The 18,014-nt window shown below is 40.3% G+C and overlaps 1 protein-coding gene and 1 non-coding gene across 8 annotated transcripts in view; both read left to right on the forward strand.

Moving 5' to 3' along the window:
* SP4 (Sp4 transcription factor) overlaps nucleotides 1-18,014 on the forward strand; it is an 86,740-nt gene that overhangs the window by 28,156 nt on the left and 40,570 nt on the right. The gene's annotated exons all lie outside the window — the stretch shown is intronic.
* MIR1183 (microRNA 1183) lies at nucleotides 14,820-14,908 on the forward strand. The gene has a single exon (NR_031594.1). It is a non-coding gene; the product is annotated as a microRNA 1183 (primary transcript).

An 18,014-nucleotide genomic window follows, 5' to 3' on the forward strand; every position in this document is an offset into this window, starting at 1 on the left:
GGGTAAGGTCTTTAAAGGGCCTCAGAGTGAAGCCCTATGCAGGCAGGCAAACTGCTTCAAAAGACACTGGAAAACTTGGCCCTGGGGCATTAACAGGAACAAAAGGTGTATGGTAAGTCATAAGGAGCTCGCAGAGCCAGGGTTCCGATTAGTGTTTGTCTCAGCAATGTGCCAACAGACAGGAAGAGTTGGAGGTCATCTGAGCTGGTAGGGTAAAAACAAGTATAAATCTCAGGGAATATCCATCCACAAGGGAGCCCCTGTCTGCTGCCAAGCACACAGCAAGAGCTGCGGACACATGAATAACAGGGAGTGTGTGTTTAAGAAGTCAGGTGGCATGCAAAGTGAAAACGAAGAGGCAGATGTGCCCCTGAGGCAGGCAGTCTGGCGGGTGTGCAAGGCCATTTCAGATTACCCACAGGGAAAACAGGAGAAAAGGTGGTGTGAGTTTTTGGGAAAGAGCCGATTTTAGTTGAAAAAGCAGAGGAAATCCTAGACAGCACACGGTCTTAGGCTTTAGCCCTACCATTCTCACAAGCCGCCTGTCAGTGATATGTCTGGGATTTCCTCTGCTTTTTCAAATAAAATGTCTCAGGTCTGCCTGATGTAGACCCCAAGGTCTTTCCCATCCCCACAAGCTATCTGTCAGGGTGAACTGAGAGATCAGCCCAGTGGAGGGGGAGCAGAGCCACTGTGGCCAAGAGGAATAGTTCTGGGGGTTGGTTAGTAAGCAGGAGAGTGAAAGGAAGAGGAAAACTTCCTACAGGGGTTGAATGCCTCCAGCCTAAGAAGGAAGGCATAGAGGTATCTTACCACTGGGAAACATATCTGAGTCACATGTCACCAAAGTATGTATCTGCTCCCCAGGGAGCCTATAACTTCCTAAATAAAATAAGATTTTTTTATATATTGAGTAAAGCATTTAGCAACTTTATTTTATAATATAACCTTTTATCATAGGAGAATGATAAAGAATAATCTGGTCCCTGCCAGATTTCCTTTTTCTTGCCAACTCTTATACTTGGTCTAGCATGAGGCCCTGAGATGCTCTTATTGCCCCAACTTTCAGCTTTTGTAATGGAAAACATACATAGTTATTTAGCTAAGTAATGGTTCGTTATACTACCTCTGACACTTCAATAGTGCTATCATCTTCGCTTCCTCCAGTGTATAGATTGTGCCTTGCATGTGGTTGGTGCTTAATGAATACTTTACTGAGTAGATGAAGCTCTGTTGAAAAAAAACTTGCTTTGTATTTAATTATTTGGTTCCATTTTTTATACATTTATAGTTTTTACTATATCTAGAAATAAGAACAATTGCATGTTCCTTTCCTTTTCAGAATCATCTAGAGTAAGCAGGCCAAGAGTGTTTTTGATAATTAACAGACCATTGTCTGCTAAGATGATGAAGCACATTGAGTTTTTCAAAGAAACCAACAACATAGCAATATAAAATAATAATTAAATCCCCCAGTGTGACAAAGGGGTAAGCGGTATGACCATGACCCACTGTTATTTTTTTTTCAATAGGGGTGTGTGTGTGTGTATGCATGTGTGTGTTTGTGTTTAGGAGTTGGGGTCTTGCTCTGTTGGCCAAGACGGGAGTGCAGTCGCACATATGTAGAAATAATCTTGAACTATCTTAGCTATGAGCAATTAATGTAATGAAATACAATTAATGTATTTCTAAAATGTACTAATTTTAGAAATAGTAACATAGGTATTGTAAATTCATGGTCTTTTGGGGGTTTATTGTGATGAAATTAAAAGGCTAAATTACTCTTAAGAGTTTTTATAACTTTCGAAGAAGAAATGTTGGGGTCATGTATTAAAAGGATTTGGCTTTGATTATAGCTTTACAGTGAAGTTCATTTCTTGTCTGACCACGTCTTTAAATTATTTAAATAAGTCTTTTCCATCAAGTGCAGTTTTCCTGTCAAGGTTTATGTCTTTTTTTGGGGGGTGGGGTGGGGATGGAGTCTCACTCTGTTGCCCAGGCTGGAGTGCAATGGCACAGTCTTGGCTCACTGCAAACTCCGCCTCCTGGGTTCAAGCAATTCTTCCGCCCCAGCCTCCCGAGTAGCTGGGATTACAGGCAACTGCCATCATGCCTGGCTAATTTTTGTAAAGACAAGGTTTCACCATGTTGGCCAGGCTGGTCTTGAACTCCTGACCTCAGGTGATCCACCTGCCTCGGCCTCCCAAAGTGCTGGGAGTACAGCCGTGAGCCACTGCGTCCGGCCAGTTTATGTCTATAAATGAGTTTTTAAAAATCATACTGTGAATTCATCACATAAGTGAATGAAACCTTTTCTTTGCCTGTGTTCTCATCTCTTCTCCCTTCACCACAGAAATGCCAAAAGTCATTTGTGTCCAAGAAAATTAATATAATAATTTTTTTAAATCCTCCTTTTCCCCAAATAAGTGCTCATACTCTTTTCACCTTAATTGGAGGTGAAAAGCTGAATTCCCTACTACTGAAGATAGATCTGGATTGCTTGGTAGAATATGCAAGATGGTTCTTAGGTGGCACCCCCTTCCCGCTCCCCTCCCCCCACACACGATATTAGAGAAAAATCTGTGGCCAGTTCATTTACACTTGAATGTAGAAATCTAGTATTTCCTGATTGCTCAATTTGCTGTTTAGAGATGCAGCTTAAAATAGCCATCTATGGAGTTAGACTGATCCATGACAGCTTAACAGTGTTGGACCAACCTCTCTTGGCCCTAAACTATGCAGCTATTTTAAGCTATGACCCTAACAACTGACAGGGCATACTGTACCCTCTTAGCACTGAGCATTAGTTCTGTATTTCCAGAGCTAGACTGATTTAAACTTCTATAGAATTAAAGCTATCATTGTAATGTTTTGGGAATTGTTTTGTTTTGTTTTGTTTTGAGTGAGAGTCTCACTCTGTCACCAGGCTGGAGTGCAGTGGCGCGATCTCAGCTCACTGCAACCTCCGCCTCCCGGATTCAAGCGATTCTCCTGCCTCAGCTTCCTGGGTAGCTGGTACTACAGGCATGTACTACCACGCCCGGCTAACTTTTTGTATTTTTAGTAGAGACAGGGTTTCACTGTGTTAGCCAGGCTGGTATCGATCTCCTGACCTTGTGATCCACCTGCCTCAGCCTCCTAAAGTGCTGGGATTACAGGTGTGAGCCACCGTGTTTTGGAAATTCTTATACCCACCCACACAAGCTGCCAGCTTGCCATGGTATATCAGATTTCATTAAAATAAATACTATGGCAGAGGGGAAAGATACTAACCATAAACTCTTTGTGTTTTACCCAGGTAATATATTTTGAGCATTACTTCTTTGGATGAACTGCCTGTAAAACAGAAAAGTCCCAAGAATCGTTTGATGATCACTGTAATAAGATTATACTGTTTTTAGATGGTTAGTACACTAATACCTGATTCTGTGATTGCCTTTGCTCATATTTTCTGCTCTCATGGAAGATTGCTTTTTACCGTTATTTCCTGTTTTATCCATTTAATTGTTAGTGGTCCTGTTTACTAACTTTGTCCTCTTACCACTTCTCAACTGCATATCCATTTCTTTGGGACTTATTCCTTAAATTCCTACTAAGTCTAAGCACAAGGCTAAGTTCTGAGAGCATAAAGGTAGAAGCCTTTGCCTTCCAAAAGGTTATGTTCCAGTTGAGGAGACAGAATATTCATTAAAATAAAAGGTAATGCATAGAAGTAATACAAGTGGCATATGCTAAAAGAGAGATGAATGGTAAAAGATGGTAATACTAAAATTAAGAGCAGGATGAATCTTCTGAGAGCCAGGGCAGAAATAAAAGACTCCATGAAACCTGGTAGGCTTGAACTAATTCTTTGAGAAAAGGAGAGCCCTAACAGGAATAAAGAAGGAAGGCATTGTACAAAAGATAGTGTGTCCGGAATTGGTGGGTTCTTGGTCTCAATGACTTCCAAGAATGAAGCCACGGACCCTTGCGGTGAGTGTTAACAGTTCTTAAAGGCGGCATGTCCAGAGTTTGTTCCTTCTGATGTGGGGATGTGTTCGAAGTTTCTTCCTTTTGGTGGGTTTATGGTCTTACTGGCTCAGGATTGAAGCTGCAGACCTTCGCGATGAGTGTTACAGCTCTTAAGGCAGTGAGTCTGGAGTCGTTTTTTCCTCCCGGTGGGTTCGTGGTCTCGCTGGCTTCAGGAGTGAAGCTGCAGACCTTCGCGGTGAGTGTTACAGCTCATAAAGGCAGTGTGGACCCAAAGAGTGAGCAGCAGCAAGATTTATTGCGAAGAGCAAAAGAACAAAGCTTCCACAGTATGGAAGGGGACCCGAGCGGGTTGCCACTGCTGGCTCGGGCAGCCTGCTTTTATTTTCTTATCTGGCCCCACCCACATCCTGCTGATTGGCCCATTTTACAGAGAGCCGATTGGTCTGTTTTACAGAGCGCTGATTGGTCCATTTTGACACGGTGCTGATTGGTGCGTTTACAATCCCTGAGCTAGACACAAAAGTTCTCCACGTCACCACTAGATTAGCTACATACAGAGTGTAGATTGGTGTATTTACAAACCCTGAGCTAGACACAGAATGCTGATTGGTGCATTTACAAACCTTGAGCTAGACACAGAGTGCTGATTGCTGCATTTACAAACCTTCAGCTAGACACAGAGTGCCGATTGGTGCATTCACAATCCCTTAGCTAGACATAAAGATTCTCCAAGTCCCCACCAAGATTAGCTAGACACAGCTGATTGGTGCATTTCCAAACCTTGAGCTAGACACAGAGTGCTGATTGGTGTGTTTACAAACCTTGAGCTAGATACAGAGTGCTGATTGGTGTATTTACAATCCCCTAGCTAGACGTAAAGGTTGTCTAAGTCCCCACCAGACTCAGGAGCCCTGCTGGCTTCACCCAGTGGATTTCGCACCAGGGCTGCAGGTGGAGCTGCCTGCCAGTCCCGTGCCATGCGCCCGCACTCCTCAGCCCTTGGGCAGTCGATGGGACCGGGTGCCATGGAGCAGGGGGCGGTGCTTGTTGGGGAGACTCAGGCCGTGCAGGAGCCCACGGGGGTTGGGGGAGACTCAGGCTGTGCAGGAGCCCACGGCTGGGTGGGGGTAGACTCAGGCATGGTGGACTGCAGATCCTGAGCCCTGCCTCGCGGGGAGGCAGCTAAGGCCTGGCGAGAAATCGAGCGCAGCGCCAGTGGGCCAGTACTGCTGGGGGACCCGGCGCATCCTCCGCAGCTGCTGACCCAGGTGTTAAGCCCCTCACTGCCGGGGGCCAGCAGGGCCGGCCGGCAGGCCAGCCGCTCCAAGTGCAGGGCCCGCCAAGCCCACACCCACCCGGAACTCTAGCTGGCCTGCAAACACCGCGCGCAGCCCCGGTTGCCACCCGTGCCTCTCCCTCCACACCTCCCCGCAAGCCGAGGGAGCCAGCTGCAGCCTCGGCCAGCCCGGAGAAGGGCTCCCACGATGCAGCGGTGGGCTGAAGGGCTCCTCAAGCGCAGCCAGAATGGGCGCCGAGGCCGAGGAGGCACCGAGAGTGAGCCAGGGCTGCCAGCACGCTGTCACCTCTCAATAGGAAGTTGGAATATGCTTTGTATAAGAAAGAATGGATAGACCTTTAAAGTTCTAGTGGAGACTTTGAGGAGAATGTTAGAAAATGAAGTTCACAAGGTTGGTAGAAGTTTGGTTGTAGAATGACGATGTCAGACCAAGGACAGGTGAAAAGGGTATGTGAATGTGTATATTTTTGAGGGGTAGGGGACAGGAAGTTTCATTTATAAAGCAGTGTTTTAGTTTTAGTTTTTTTTTTTTTTTTTTGAAGACAGGATCTCACTCTGTTACCCAGGCAGTGCAGTGGTGTGATCTTGGCTTGCTGCAACCTCCACCTCCCAGGCTGAAGCAATCCGCCCACCTCAGCCTCCCAAGTAGCTGGGACTACAGGTGTGCTGCCACCAGGCCCAGCTAATTTTTGTATTTTGTAGAGATGGGGTTTTGCCATGTTGCCCAAGCTAGTTTTGTTTTTTAACAGACGTAGGAGAAATGGGGAAGCCAGTTTCGGGACCATAGTATTGACTCAGATATCAGTGATGGGAAGTCTGAACTTGAGTGTAAAGTATGTGGTTCTCAAGAGTCTTAAAAAAATAAAAATAAAAAAGAATTTGATGTATGAATGGAGAGAGGAAAAATATTTTAAGGGTAATTCTGTAGAGTTTGAATCTGGATGACCATGAAAGTGCTTGTGCCATTGAAAGAAATGACTTCCAGAAAATGAAAGTGATGAACCTGAATTTTGATATTTGTTAATAAGTCTGAGCTAATAGTATGTTGAAAGTGTCTAGTTTGTATCTGGAGATTGGTCCTGAGAAGAGATCAGAATCAGCAGTCTAGATATGAAAGTCTTTTGCATGGAGATGGTGTAGAAATTATGGCAGTGTATGAAATTGAGGCAGACAGTTTTGAGTTTGAATTGCAGAATTATGAGAACTGAACTTAGGGTTACACCTGGTCTTTGGGGGCCAAAAGCAGAAAGTTAAGAAAAGTGAGAACCATCAGAGAAATAGAAAGAGAACAGGGTAGTATGTCAGCAGCTAAGAGGAATCTCAGATGGTATTGAATGTTGACTTGAGAGTATTGAGAAAAGTTCAGCAGGTTTTGTGTTTGAATCATTTGATAAGACCTAAGAACTGTGCTGTTCAATATGAAAGCCGTTGGTCACATGTGGCTTATAAACCTAAAATTAATTAAAATTAAAAACTTATTTCCTCAGTTGCATTAACTACATTTAAAGTGCTAATTACCACATGTGGCAAGAGGCTATCATATTGGACAGCACTGATAAATAACTTTTCTTTTTTTTTTTTTTTGAGACAGGGTCTGTCACCCAAGTGAAAGTGCTTCTAAAATGAGATTTTAAAAAGGTGAGTCAATGTTTGGAGAACCAGTCAGATGCTGATAATAGAAGGGAGAATAAAGATACTTTTGGGTGACTTCTCAGTAAATTAGGAGGCAAAATCATCTACAGATTGTAAGGTGCAAGGAAAGGGGAATGAGGATTTGAGGACAGAGGGAAAAAAATTGGAACAGCCAATGAAGGGCTATGTACATTGCCAGCATAGGATGAATGAAAGGTTACCAAGCAACAGTGATGGCTCAGGTAATGTAAAGTTTAGGGCTTTATTAGCCCTCCTGTAATCTCTTTCCTTGGTGTTTAGCAGCCTAAGAACACCAGAAAGTGGATGATAAGAATTACCATCAGGTGTGGCAGAAGTTCAGCGAGACACAAGGGATTACCACGGATGCTAAGCGAAGCCAGAGGAGGGTTGGATTGAGAGTGTGTCCACATAACTAGGGAACAAAGTGAGGATGAAGATTGAGTTCAAAAATAAACGGAGTGAAAGGGACAGGAAGTTAAATATCGTGGTTGGAGAAGAGATAGTGCCAAGCCTGACTTCTTGGAGGAAGAGCAGTTCTAGTTGAAGACAGAGTTTGAGCTGGGTTGTGTCTGTAGGAGACATCTGAATGTAGAACTGATTTTTTTTCCAAACCTGCTTCCTCTCCGGGGTTCCCCTATTTCTGTTAATGGGATCATCATCACTCAAATTAGAATACTTATAGATTTATTTGATCTTTATCAATTAATTATCTTAAAAGTTTATAGTTCTAAGGTTCAAGTCTTAGTTTAGCCACTTAAATCTTGATCAAGTGTTTCTCTAGGTCTGACTGTCCTCATCTGTAAAATGGCAGAAATCATGTTACTTTAGTGGGATAAGATATGTAAAGTACTTTGCACAGTGCTTAGAACACAGAAAAGATTTCACTAAGTGCTAGCAACTATTTATTATGATAATTATTATTTATTCTTATATCTGATTCATTCCCTTGTCAGGGCGCTCTCTTTTTTTTTTTTTTTTTTTTGAGATGGAGTCTAGTTCTGTCACCCAGGCTGGAGTGCATGGCCTCCCGGGTTCATGCCGTTCTCCTGCCTTAGCCTCCCGAGTAGCTGGGACTACAGGCACCCACCACCACGCCCAGCTAATTTTTTGTATTTTTAGTGGAGACAGGGTTTCACTGTGTTAGCCAGGATGGTCTCGATCTCCTGACCTCATGATCCGCCCACCTCGGCCTCCCAAAGTGCTGGGATTACAGGCGTGAGCCACTGCGCCCGGCCAGTCAGGGCTCTCTTTCAGAGCCTCGTGATCTGGAAGGTAAAATAGCTTCTTTCCTAACTGGTATCTCTGCCTCTACGTTTTCACATGTTTATTTTGTTCTTGACATTTCAGAGTTTTCCTAAAACTGAGATCTGATACACCCCTGCTCCGTTTGTCACAATCTTTGTTTAAAAATCTATTTTCTATTTTTTTTTTTTTTTTAGAGATGGGGTCTTACTGTGTTGCCCTGGCTAGACTCAAACTCCTGGGCTCAGGCAGTTCTCCAGTCTCAGCCTTCTGAGTAGCTGGGACCACAGGTGTGCACCACTGTGCCAAGCTTCCTCACAACCTTCATAGGCTTCCAATTGCAGACTTTTCAAGTTATAAAAACTGTCAAGAGGTAATAGAGCCCAATGTAGAATAAAAGTTGGTGATAGAGGCTATAGCAATGCATTACTACTATGGTGACTCATTGTACATCTAAAGGACCGGAAGTAGCTTTAAAACTTTTTAAGACTATTTACAATTTCACATAGAATTAGCCAGATTTTCCTTTTTTGATTTATTTTTCACCATCAACTTAGGCAAGTATGGTTCAACGTAGAATGAGGGAAAATTAGAAAATTTTTTTTGTTTTGTTTTAAATATGGCAAATTCTGTTTAAAGAAAGTATTCATATCTTTCTAGGGTTTTCCGGCTAGGAAGGATTTCCTCAACATAAACAGAGTTGAGAATAGTTGACAGTTATCTGGAGCAAGATTAGAATAAATAGAAATAACTAGGTACCAAAGAGGGTGTATATCTTTGTTTTCCTAAGCTTTTCTCTCCAACACCAAATGACTAGAGTTGCCTTTCCTTCCTAGCTCAGGGAGTTTCAAAAGAGCAATACCTTCAAGCATCAGAATTGATAGACAGGTGTTACTGTGTTTACCTCTAACTCCCTGTTGCCTGCAAAGTCCAAATAATATCCTAGTGCTTAAGGAGAGAATATAGCCAACCAGAAAAGAGTGTAGGGCTCTGGATTCAGGCTGACCTAGGTTCACATCTTAGCTTTGCCACTTAATAGCAGCTATGTAATCTTGGGAAATATGCATAACCTCCCCAAATCTTAGAAGACAGCATTAGACAAAGTATAGGTGTAAAATAGTTTAGTTCGATTATAGCCATTTAGTAAATTGAGTAAGTGCGAGTGATTATTGTGTGGCAGGTATTCTGGATTGGGGATGGGAAGGATGGGCATAATACCTTAACAAGGATTCCCTCTCTCCTACCCTAGAAAGTCCCTTCTTTAAGAAGTTGACAGCCTGGACAACATAGCAAGACCTTGTCACAATAAAAAATTTAGCTGGGTATGGTGGCACTTGCCTGTTGTCCTACTGGAGAGGGCTGAGGCGGGATGATTGCTTGAGCCTAGGGGTTTGAGATTACAGTGAGCTATGATTGCACTACTGCACTGCAGGCTGGGCAACAGAGCAAGACCCTGTCTCTTAAAAAAAAAAGGTTTAATTAAGGCCCTTCCTGATCTATCCTTCCAACCCTATCTTTAGCCCCCTCACCTCCTTGAACTTTAATCTCCAGTGGTATGCTGTCTCAGGGTTATGTCTTTAAATATAGCCTTCCCACTGCCTTCCCATTTGCCTTTATTCTTTCCACCTGTCAGTGGATTCATCTCCTCTGTGAAGCCTTCATTGTTTCTTTTTGACAGTAAATCACTGTCCTCTCTGTTAAGTAGGCATTTTATGCACATTTTTGTTATTGTGCATATTATAATTATTTATTTGAGTGTGTCTTCCCTACAGGTGAGGGCTTCTGGTCAGATCTTATTTATCATTTCTCCAGCAGCATTAAGCACATAGCAGGTACTCAGTAGAAGTTTGCTGTATGAATAAATCTCACTTCTATACTAAGTCCACATCCAAAGTGCTAGGACTTAAGGAAATGTGAATGGCTGTTAAGTATTTGTACTTAATACATTTGCAGTTTGTTTTACTGGAGTTAACATTCCTCTTGAGTGTTTATCATATTCCAGACATTATGCTAAGACGTGTGCTATATACACTATTTCAGTCAACTCCCACAGCTCCCAGGTCCTCAAAGGAAGAAACTGCAGGGAGAATCAGAACTCAGAAACAGGTCTGCTTGACCCAAAAGTTCTACTTTCGGCTCTACTAAACTGTTGCGCCTGTTCAGTAACTCAATATTGGTTCACAGATTGTACATAACCCATAGTATGTTGATAGTCCTGGAAGTCATTGGCTAATGGGGTTCACCTTCATTTAAGAGATACAGAAGGTACTCGGTTATTTCTTAATATTTTCATTTATAGTTCATCTACAGGAAAACATGTCATTGAAGCTCTTCCATAAGGCAAAGAAGTATTTTGTAATTAATAAGCATAATTTTCAAATCTAGGATTTTTTTTTTTTTTACCACCAGTGTACCATGGAATCTCTCTAGTCATATGTCTGTCAAAACTGTCACAGCCTATTCCCAAATGTATGTAGCTCTCTTTTCAAAGGCTTTAATTCAGTCATATAGTTTCTGTTTTTGTGGAGACTCATGTAGTTTTTATAGGGATCACACAAATGTACCATATTTTAATTTTTCATATGTTTTGTTATAGCTGTTTATAATGATATGAATGAGAGGCATAAATGTTAGTTGAGTTATTCCAGTGCTGAGTTTCAGTGGATTTCTTAATCTCAGCATTATTGACATTTTAGGCCAGGTAATTCTTTGTTTTTGGGGTCTGTTTTGTGCATTGTAAGATGTTTAGCAGCATCCCAGGCCTCTACTCACTATATACCAGTAATCTCACACTTTGTGACAACCAAAAATGTCTCCAGACATTGCTGAGTATCTCCTGGAAGGCAAAATTACCTTCATTTGGGAACCACTGGCTTAAAGGTACTTAGAGCCAACAAAAGTAGAATTAAAAAAAAATTTTTTTTTAAATCTAGTTACCTTTAAAAAAACAACTTTATTTATATATATCCATACCATATTATACAACAACTTCAAGTGTATATTCAATGGCTTTTGGTATATTGATAGAGTTTTGCAGCTATCACCACAATCTAGTTTTAGAACATTTATATGACCTCATAAAGAAACCCTTATTAGCAGTCATTCCCCATTTCTCCTTTCTATCCTCCCCAGCCCTAAGCATATTTGGTTATCTTTTTATGTTTAGGAATATACATCCTGCTTGCTTATTTTAAGTCAGATCATTATGTAAACCAAATCCTATTTTAGAGTGTGTTTATTGAAAGTTATTTGCAATGTTAGGAGACATATTTTTTGAGAGGACCTTAGACATTTTCTTAGGCAGATTCCAAGTTTAATCTGTAAAGGAAGTCAATCTAGGTAGGCTCAGTTAAGAATCATTTTAGTATTATTCAGAACAGAAAAAATCCCACTGCCCCCCATGGCAAGTTTTGTATCATAGAAATCAACAGCTTTTGTTTTTCCTGATCAGTTATATTAGAAAACCTTGTTCCCTAGGTTATATGCACAAAACATAATTAAGAAACACATGTACTTTGAACCTGCTGTATGATTATTATTAAATAGGTCAATTTCAGTTTATTGGTTGGTGAGTTTATTTATAGGTAGATAGATAAATAGTTTTGTTTTTCAAATTTGCGGATCTGTCTTACTTACAGAGTAATGTTACTTACTATTTACTATAAGAAAAAACCTTGCAAATCGTCTTTTCCAAAAGAAGAAATAAGGCACAGTTGGATTATTTTGTGTACACACACGCATCTGTTTTAAATTGTGTTCATTTCTGTCCCTATTCCTAAGCTAACAGCACCTTATTTTAATTACTGTAGCTACCTACATATCTTTATTCTACTATTCTGCTTTTTCAGACTTTTCTTAGCTGATTTTTCACATGTCAAATTAGCAGACTTTCATGGAAAAGTTTCGAATTAAATTTGTGATTGCATTCACTTCCTAGAATAATTTTGGAAGAATTGACACATTTAGTTTAATGATTCTTCCTATCCAAGAACATATATTTCTCTCTTTTGAGGTCTTGTTTTATATCCTTTATTAAATCTTCCTCAAGATCTTGCATATTACTAATTAGATTGATTTCTCAGATATTTGTGGTTATTGTTGCTATTATGAATGGAATTTTTTTTTTTTCTTTTTCAATTGTTTGTTGCTGATATGGTTGGGAACTGTTGCTTTTTTATGTTGCTCTTGTATTTGGCCATCTCGCTGATGTACAGATGTCATATTATAATAATTTGTTGATTTTTCTATAGTTTTCTAAGTAATATAATTATATCTTTTGTAAATCATGACAGTTTCGTTACTTCCTTTTAAGTCTTTATTTCTTATATAGATCTGTTATTTCTTGCCTTACTACATTGGCTTAGACCTTAAGGAAATGTACAGTATTAGAGGTGAGAGCAGTAATCACTTCTATTAGAAACTACAGTGAGATATCCAATTTTTTGTTTATTAAATGATTTTATACATTTTACTGAATTTCTCATGCTCCATGAGATGAAACAGCATTCTCCCATACTTCTGGTGGAAATGTAAATGAATGCAGCTCTTTATATATACTCCTGTAATTTTATAATCTAGATAGTCTTACAAATGTTTCATGTCCTTTGATTTAGTAATCTCACTTCTAGGACTATCCCTTGGAAATAATAAACAATATTTTAGTTCAAGTTGCTCATTACTTTATGTTACTTATAATAAGTATTTGGAAATAAATATCTAACAGTACAGTAATGGCTTTGTAAATTATGGTATATGATGAAATATTGCACAACTATTAAAATAATTTGTAATATTAATAACTTAGAAGTACTTATATTACTAAATAAGTAAAAGAGGATAATACAGAATTTTTATATAGTAAAGTTGTATCAGCATCAAAATACATTGAACAAAGATTAAAACAGAACTTAGATCATCACATCAAAATGATAATAGTGGTAATCTATGGGTAATTACTTTCTGGATGATTTCATTTCCTCATTCATAGTTTTCTATGGTGAGCATGCTTTGTTCTTAAAATCAGAAGAAAAAGAAACTTAAAGTGTATGTGTTTGTAATACTAAACTATTTATTTTCATCAAAATAGGTAGAAAGGGAGAAATCTTAGCCTATTCCCTAAATGGCAAGTTTAGTTATAATTTTTTTTTTTTTTTTTTTGAGACGGAGTCTTGCTCTGTCGCCCAGGCTGGAGTGCAGTGGTGAGATCTCCACTCACTGCAACCTCCGCCTCCCGGATCCAAGTGATTCTCTTGCCTCAGCCTACCAAGTAGCTGGGACTACAGGTGCCCGCCACCACACCCGGCTAATTTTTTTGTATTTTTAGTAGAGACAAGATTTCACCATATTGGCCAGGCTAGGACTAGTTGGTCTCAAACTCCTGACCTTGTGATCCACCTACCTCGGCCTCCCAAAGTGCTGCAATTACAGTCATGAGCCACCATGCTGGGCCTATAATTTTTTAGAGTTAATATTTTTATAATACTCTTTTCAAAAAAAAAACACCTTGCTGAATGTAGATAGCAAATGTCATAGGAGAAATCTGATACCTGAGAGAGTAGTACATAGTTTCAGAACCAAGGTTGAGAGTTATGCTCTGGGATCTGCTTCTAAATGATCTGACTGCCATATCAGTGAGTCAGGGAGGAAGTGTAGCAGATATCCACTTGATTTGGTTTCTTACTGTCTTGTCACCCATGTGCATGTGTATTGTAAACTAGCTGTCATTTAGCAGCCCTGTGATATACTGCTGGCCGAGTTTCGTAAGAAAGCTTCTATGTTTGTATAGATTTTAGATTATCATTCGCTTTATTTAAGAAACATTCATTAAGTACTTTCAGTGTGTCAGGAACCTTGGTAGCCAAAGGACAAATGACATAAAAACCACACAGATGGCCTCTTTCTTGAGCAGCTTTTGTTGGAAATAATTTATGACTAATATTATGATGGAGTGAGATGGTGTCTTACTAGTAAGACCAGAAATACTTAAATTCTAATTCAACCAATTCTTGAGATCCCTTAGGGAGCTAGGTATACCAAAATTCAAGTTAGAATTTGTTGGCTTAGGCATAGGCCCCTGCCTCACAATCCAGAGAACTAGGTTATTCTATATGGAATATGCCTTTTTCCTTTACCAGCTAAACCTGACTTTCCTTTCTACGTGTTAGCTTAAATTCAAGTCGTCTCAAATTTTACTACTCTACTAAGGCAAAAAACTACTGGTACTAAAAGAAAATGAGCAAGAAATGTCCAACAAGCTAGATCTTGTTGAATAGTTAGCAATTCAGATGTCTTACTACCTACCAACAAACTGTCCCCCTCCATTACCTTGGCCCAGTTTCTATATTTGGAAAAAAAAAAAAAAAAAAAAGCAGAACAAAAAAGGAATAAGAAAGATGGCTTGGCTGCTCCAAGCAGCCTTGGAATGTTTTACCTCTGGTAATGTGGAAGAAAAATAAAAGAACGGCCATCCTCAGTCTGTTTCACCATAATGTGTAGTTACAATACCAAGAAATTTTGAGTTATTAAAAAAATTATTTTACAAAGCAGTTTCATTGGTAAGAAGGATTAAAGACTAAAATCTGTAAGATGAATAGACTTTTGTCAGACCAAGGGAGATGGAGGTTTGGGGTGGGAGAATGTGTTGGATTCCAGCTATATTATTCAAATGCTCGGAGACACAGAACATTAGAGAAGACAGGAGTTCACTGTAGGTGATGGTGAGAGTGGGCATGGAGCAGGAGTGCCAAGAGATGAAGTTATAAAACTAAGCAGGAGTTAGATCATGAAGAACTTTATGTACTATGCTAAGAAATACTGACCTTATTGTGAATGTATGGAGGGCCCATTGGCTTTTTGGGGAGCTAGGTCTGCAATATGAATATTAGAAGGGGCAAAACTGGTGATAAGGGCTTGCACTAGTGTACAAGCAATAGGTATGGTGAAAATGGAGACATTTGAGATATTTTGAAGAGGTAGACTTAACAGGGACTTATGATCAACATAGATAATGTATATGGTGGAAAGAGAATAGCTTTTTGAGTTGGATAAGTGTGGGTTCAAATCCCAGCTCTGTCACTTTTCCATTTTAGGATCTTGGATGTTTTACATACCCCTGAGAACCTTAGTTTTCTCATCTTAATTGGGACAGTAAGCTGGGTGCCATGGCTTGTGCCTATAGTCCCAGCTACTTGGGAGGCTGAGGCAGGAGGATCACTTGAGGTCAGGAGTTTGAGTGTAGCGTGGGCAACATAGTGAGACATAATCTCTAAAAGAATTTTAAAAATTAACTAGGTGTGGTGGCATGCATCTGTAGTCCCAACTACTCAGGAGGCTGAGGCAGGAGGATTGCTTGAGTCCAAGAGTTAGAGGCTACAGTAAGCCATGATTGTGCCGCTGTACTCTAGCCTGGGCAAGAGAGCAAGACTCCATTTATTAAAAATAAAAATTTGGGACAGTAATATTTAGCCCATAGGGATGTGAAACAATATATGGAAAACATCCAGTAAAGTGCCTTACCACATAGTAGATATAAAACAATAGTTGCTCTTGTTGTCAGGGTGAAGGAGATAGAGAGGAATCAAGAATGACTTCCAAATTTTCTATTTGAATGGTGAAAAAGAGCTATATTAGGAAAGTGGGCTAAGCTATCTGGTTCTTAGATTGCTTGTGAGGATTCAGGTGGAAGTGTTCACTGGCAGTTGATAGTAAGAGTATGACACTTCTGAGTGGAAGGCACAGATCTGTGAGTTAATCAGCTTACACATAGCAGTAAAAGTTATGAAAGTAGATGAGGTCCCCCAAGAAGAGAGTTAGAATGAGAAGTCAGAACCCTGGAGAGTGGCCTAGGAAGAGTAGAGGGTGTATTTTGTTTGATTGTTTGTTTGTTTGTTTGTTTTTGAGAGGGACTTTCTCTGTCACCCAGGCTGAAGTTGAAGTACAGTGGTGCCATCACGGCTCACTGAAGTCTTGATCCCCAGGGCTCAAGTGATCCTCTCACCTCAGCACCTCATTCTCATGAGTAGCCAGGACTACAGGCACATGCCACCATGCCTGGCTAATTTTTTAATTTTTTTAAGAGATGGCATCTCACTGCGTTGCCTAGGTTGGTCTTGAACTCCTGGGCTCAAGCAGTCCTCCTGCCTCGGCCTCCCAAAGTGCGGGGATTACAGGTGTGAGCCACTGCACCTGGCTGATAAATCTTTTCAGAAAGTGACATAAATTTAGATTTAAGTGCTGATTTTAAAAAATTGCTAAGGCCATGCATGGTGGTGCATGCCTGTAATCTCAGCTACTTGGGAGACCAAGGCAGGAGAATTGCTTGAGCCCTGGAGTTCAAGACTGGTCTGAACAGCAGAGTGAGACCCCCATCTCTTAAAAAAAAAGAAAAAAAAAAGCAACCAAACAAAAAGGAGCTAACAGAGAAGAAGGGGTTTCTGAAATGTAGGAAGTTAGCTCACAGAGTCAAAATTGAATAAGGATGGAGTGGCGAGTGGTGTCAAATGCAGCAGAGCAGTCCTGTAATGGTCACTGAAAAAATGCACAATAGATTTGGTCATTAGAAGGAAGACTGTGAACCAGGAGCTGAGTAAGTCCTTGTGGTAGAGTGCTTTGAATGCCAGACTTTGGTCGGTGGAAGAATGATTAAATGTTATTGAGCACGAAAGTGAGATGATCAGAACACTACTTTTTTATTTTTCTGGCAGCAGTGTGAAGGATGAGAAAGGAGGGAAAGCTCAATTTAGGTTGGTAGAGGCACAGATTGAACAAGGGCTTGGATCAAGATGATAATCTTGCTTGGAAACAGGTTAGCGTAAGAGCTGTTAGGCAGTAGTGTCTTCAAAATTTGGTCATCACTGGATGTAATGAGTAAAGAAGTAGCCTAAAAGATGACATTTTAAGGTTTTCAGTGTGGATAACAAGGAGAATAGGGGTAGCATTTACTGAAACAGGGACATTAGCAGAAGCAAGACTGGAAGATGAAATCATTTTTTATTTTTAAACTTTGATTTATTAAGCATATGCTATTGAGTGGCACTGTTATTGAGTTATTAGGCACTGTTACGGTACTAGAGATACAGCAGTGAACATAATAGGCAAGATCCCTACTTTCATGGCACTTTACCTTCAGAAGTGAGGTGAAGACCAAATTATAAAAGGACAAAGTAATTTAAGACAAATAAGACAAAACTAGGTGATGATACAGTGATATATTGAGGGGAGCTTTTAGATGGGATGGTCAGGAATGGCATTTCTAAAGAGGAGAGATTTGAACTCAGACCAGAATATTACAAAGGAATCAACTATGCAAAGATCTGGGTGCAAAGGCATCCCCACTTAGACTGGAGAGTATATGCAAAGTCCCTAAGAAGGAAATGAGCTTGATTTATTTGAGGGCCAGAAGAGAGGCCAGTATATCAGGTGCAGAGTGAGCAAGGGAGAGACTAATAGAGATGAGCTCTGAGAAGTCAATAGAATTAAACTTAAGTGGGGCCTCGGAGGTCTTGCTCTGGAGTTTGGTGGCTTACTGATGGCAGTGGAAATAAAGCAGTATGTTGAACTTAGCTGTCTGTGAAACATCTAGATGAAGTCAATTAACGGGCTTCAATATACAAACTCAAATATAATTTGCCTCTGTTATTCATTGAAATAACTTTCCAAGTTGTTTAGGCATTGAACAAAGAAATGCTCACAATATGGAGGCTTGAGGAGTGTGTCAAGGACATGGTCAGGGGACCAGAGGGATCAGGAATCTCTAGCAGTTCTTCCCCACCCCTCACCCCCAGACTTAGCTTTGACTTGAAACTCATCTAGCAGTTCTTTACCAAAATAAAGGTCATCTTAAATATTATTG

Source organism: Homo sapiens, chromosome 7 (assembly GCF_000001405.40).
Source record: "Homo sapiens chromosome 7, GRCh38.p14 Primary Assembly".
Taxonomy (NCBI): Eukaryota; Metazoa; Chordata; class Mammalia; order Primates; family Hominidae; genus Homo; species Homo sapiens.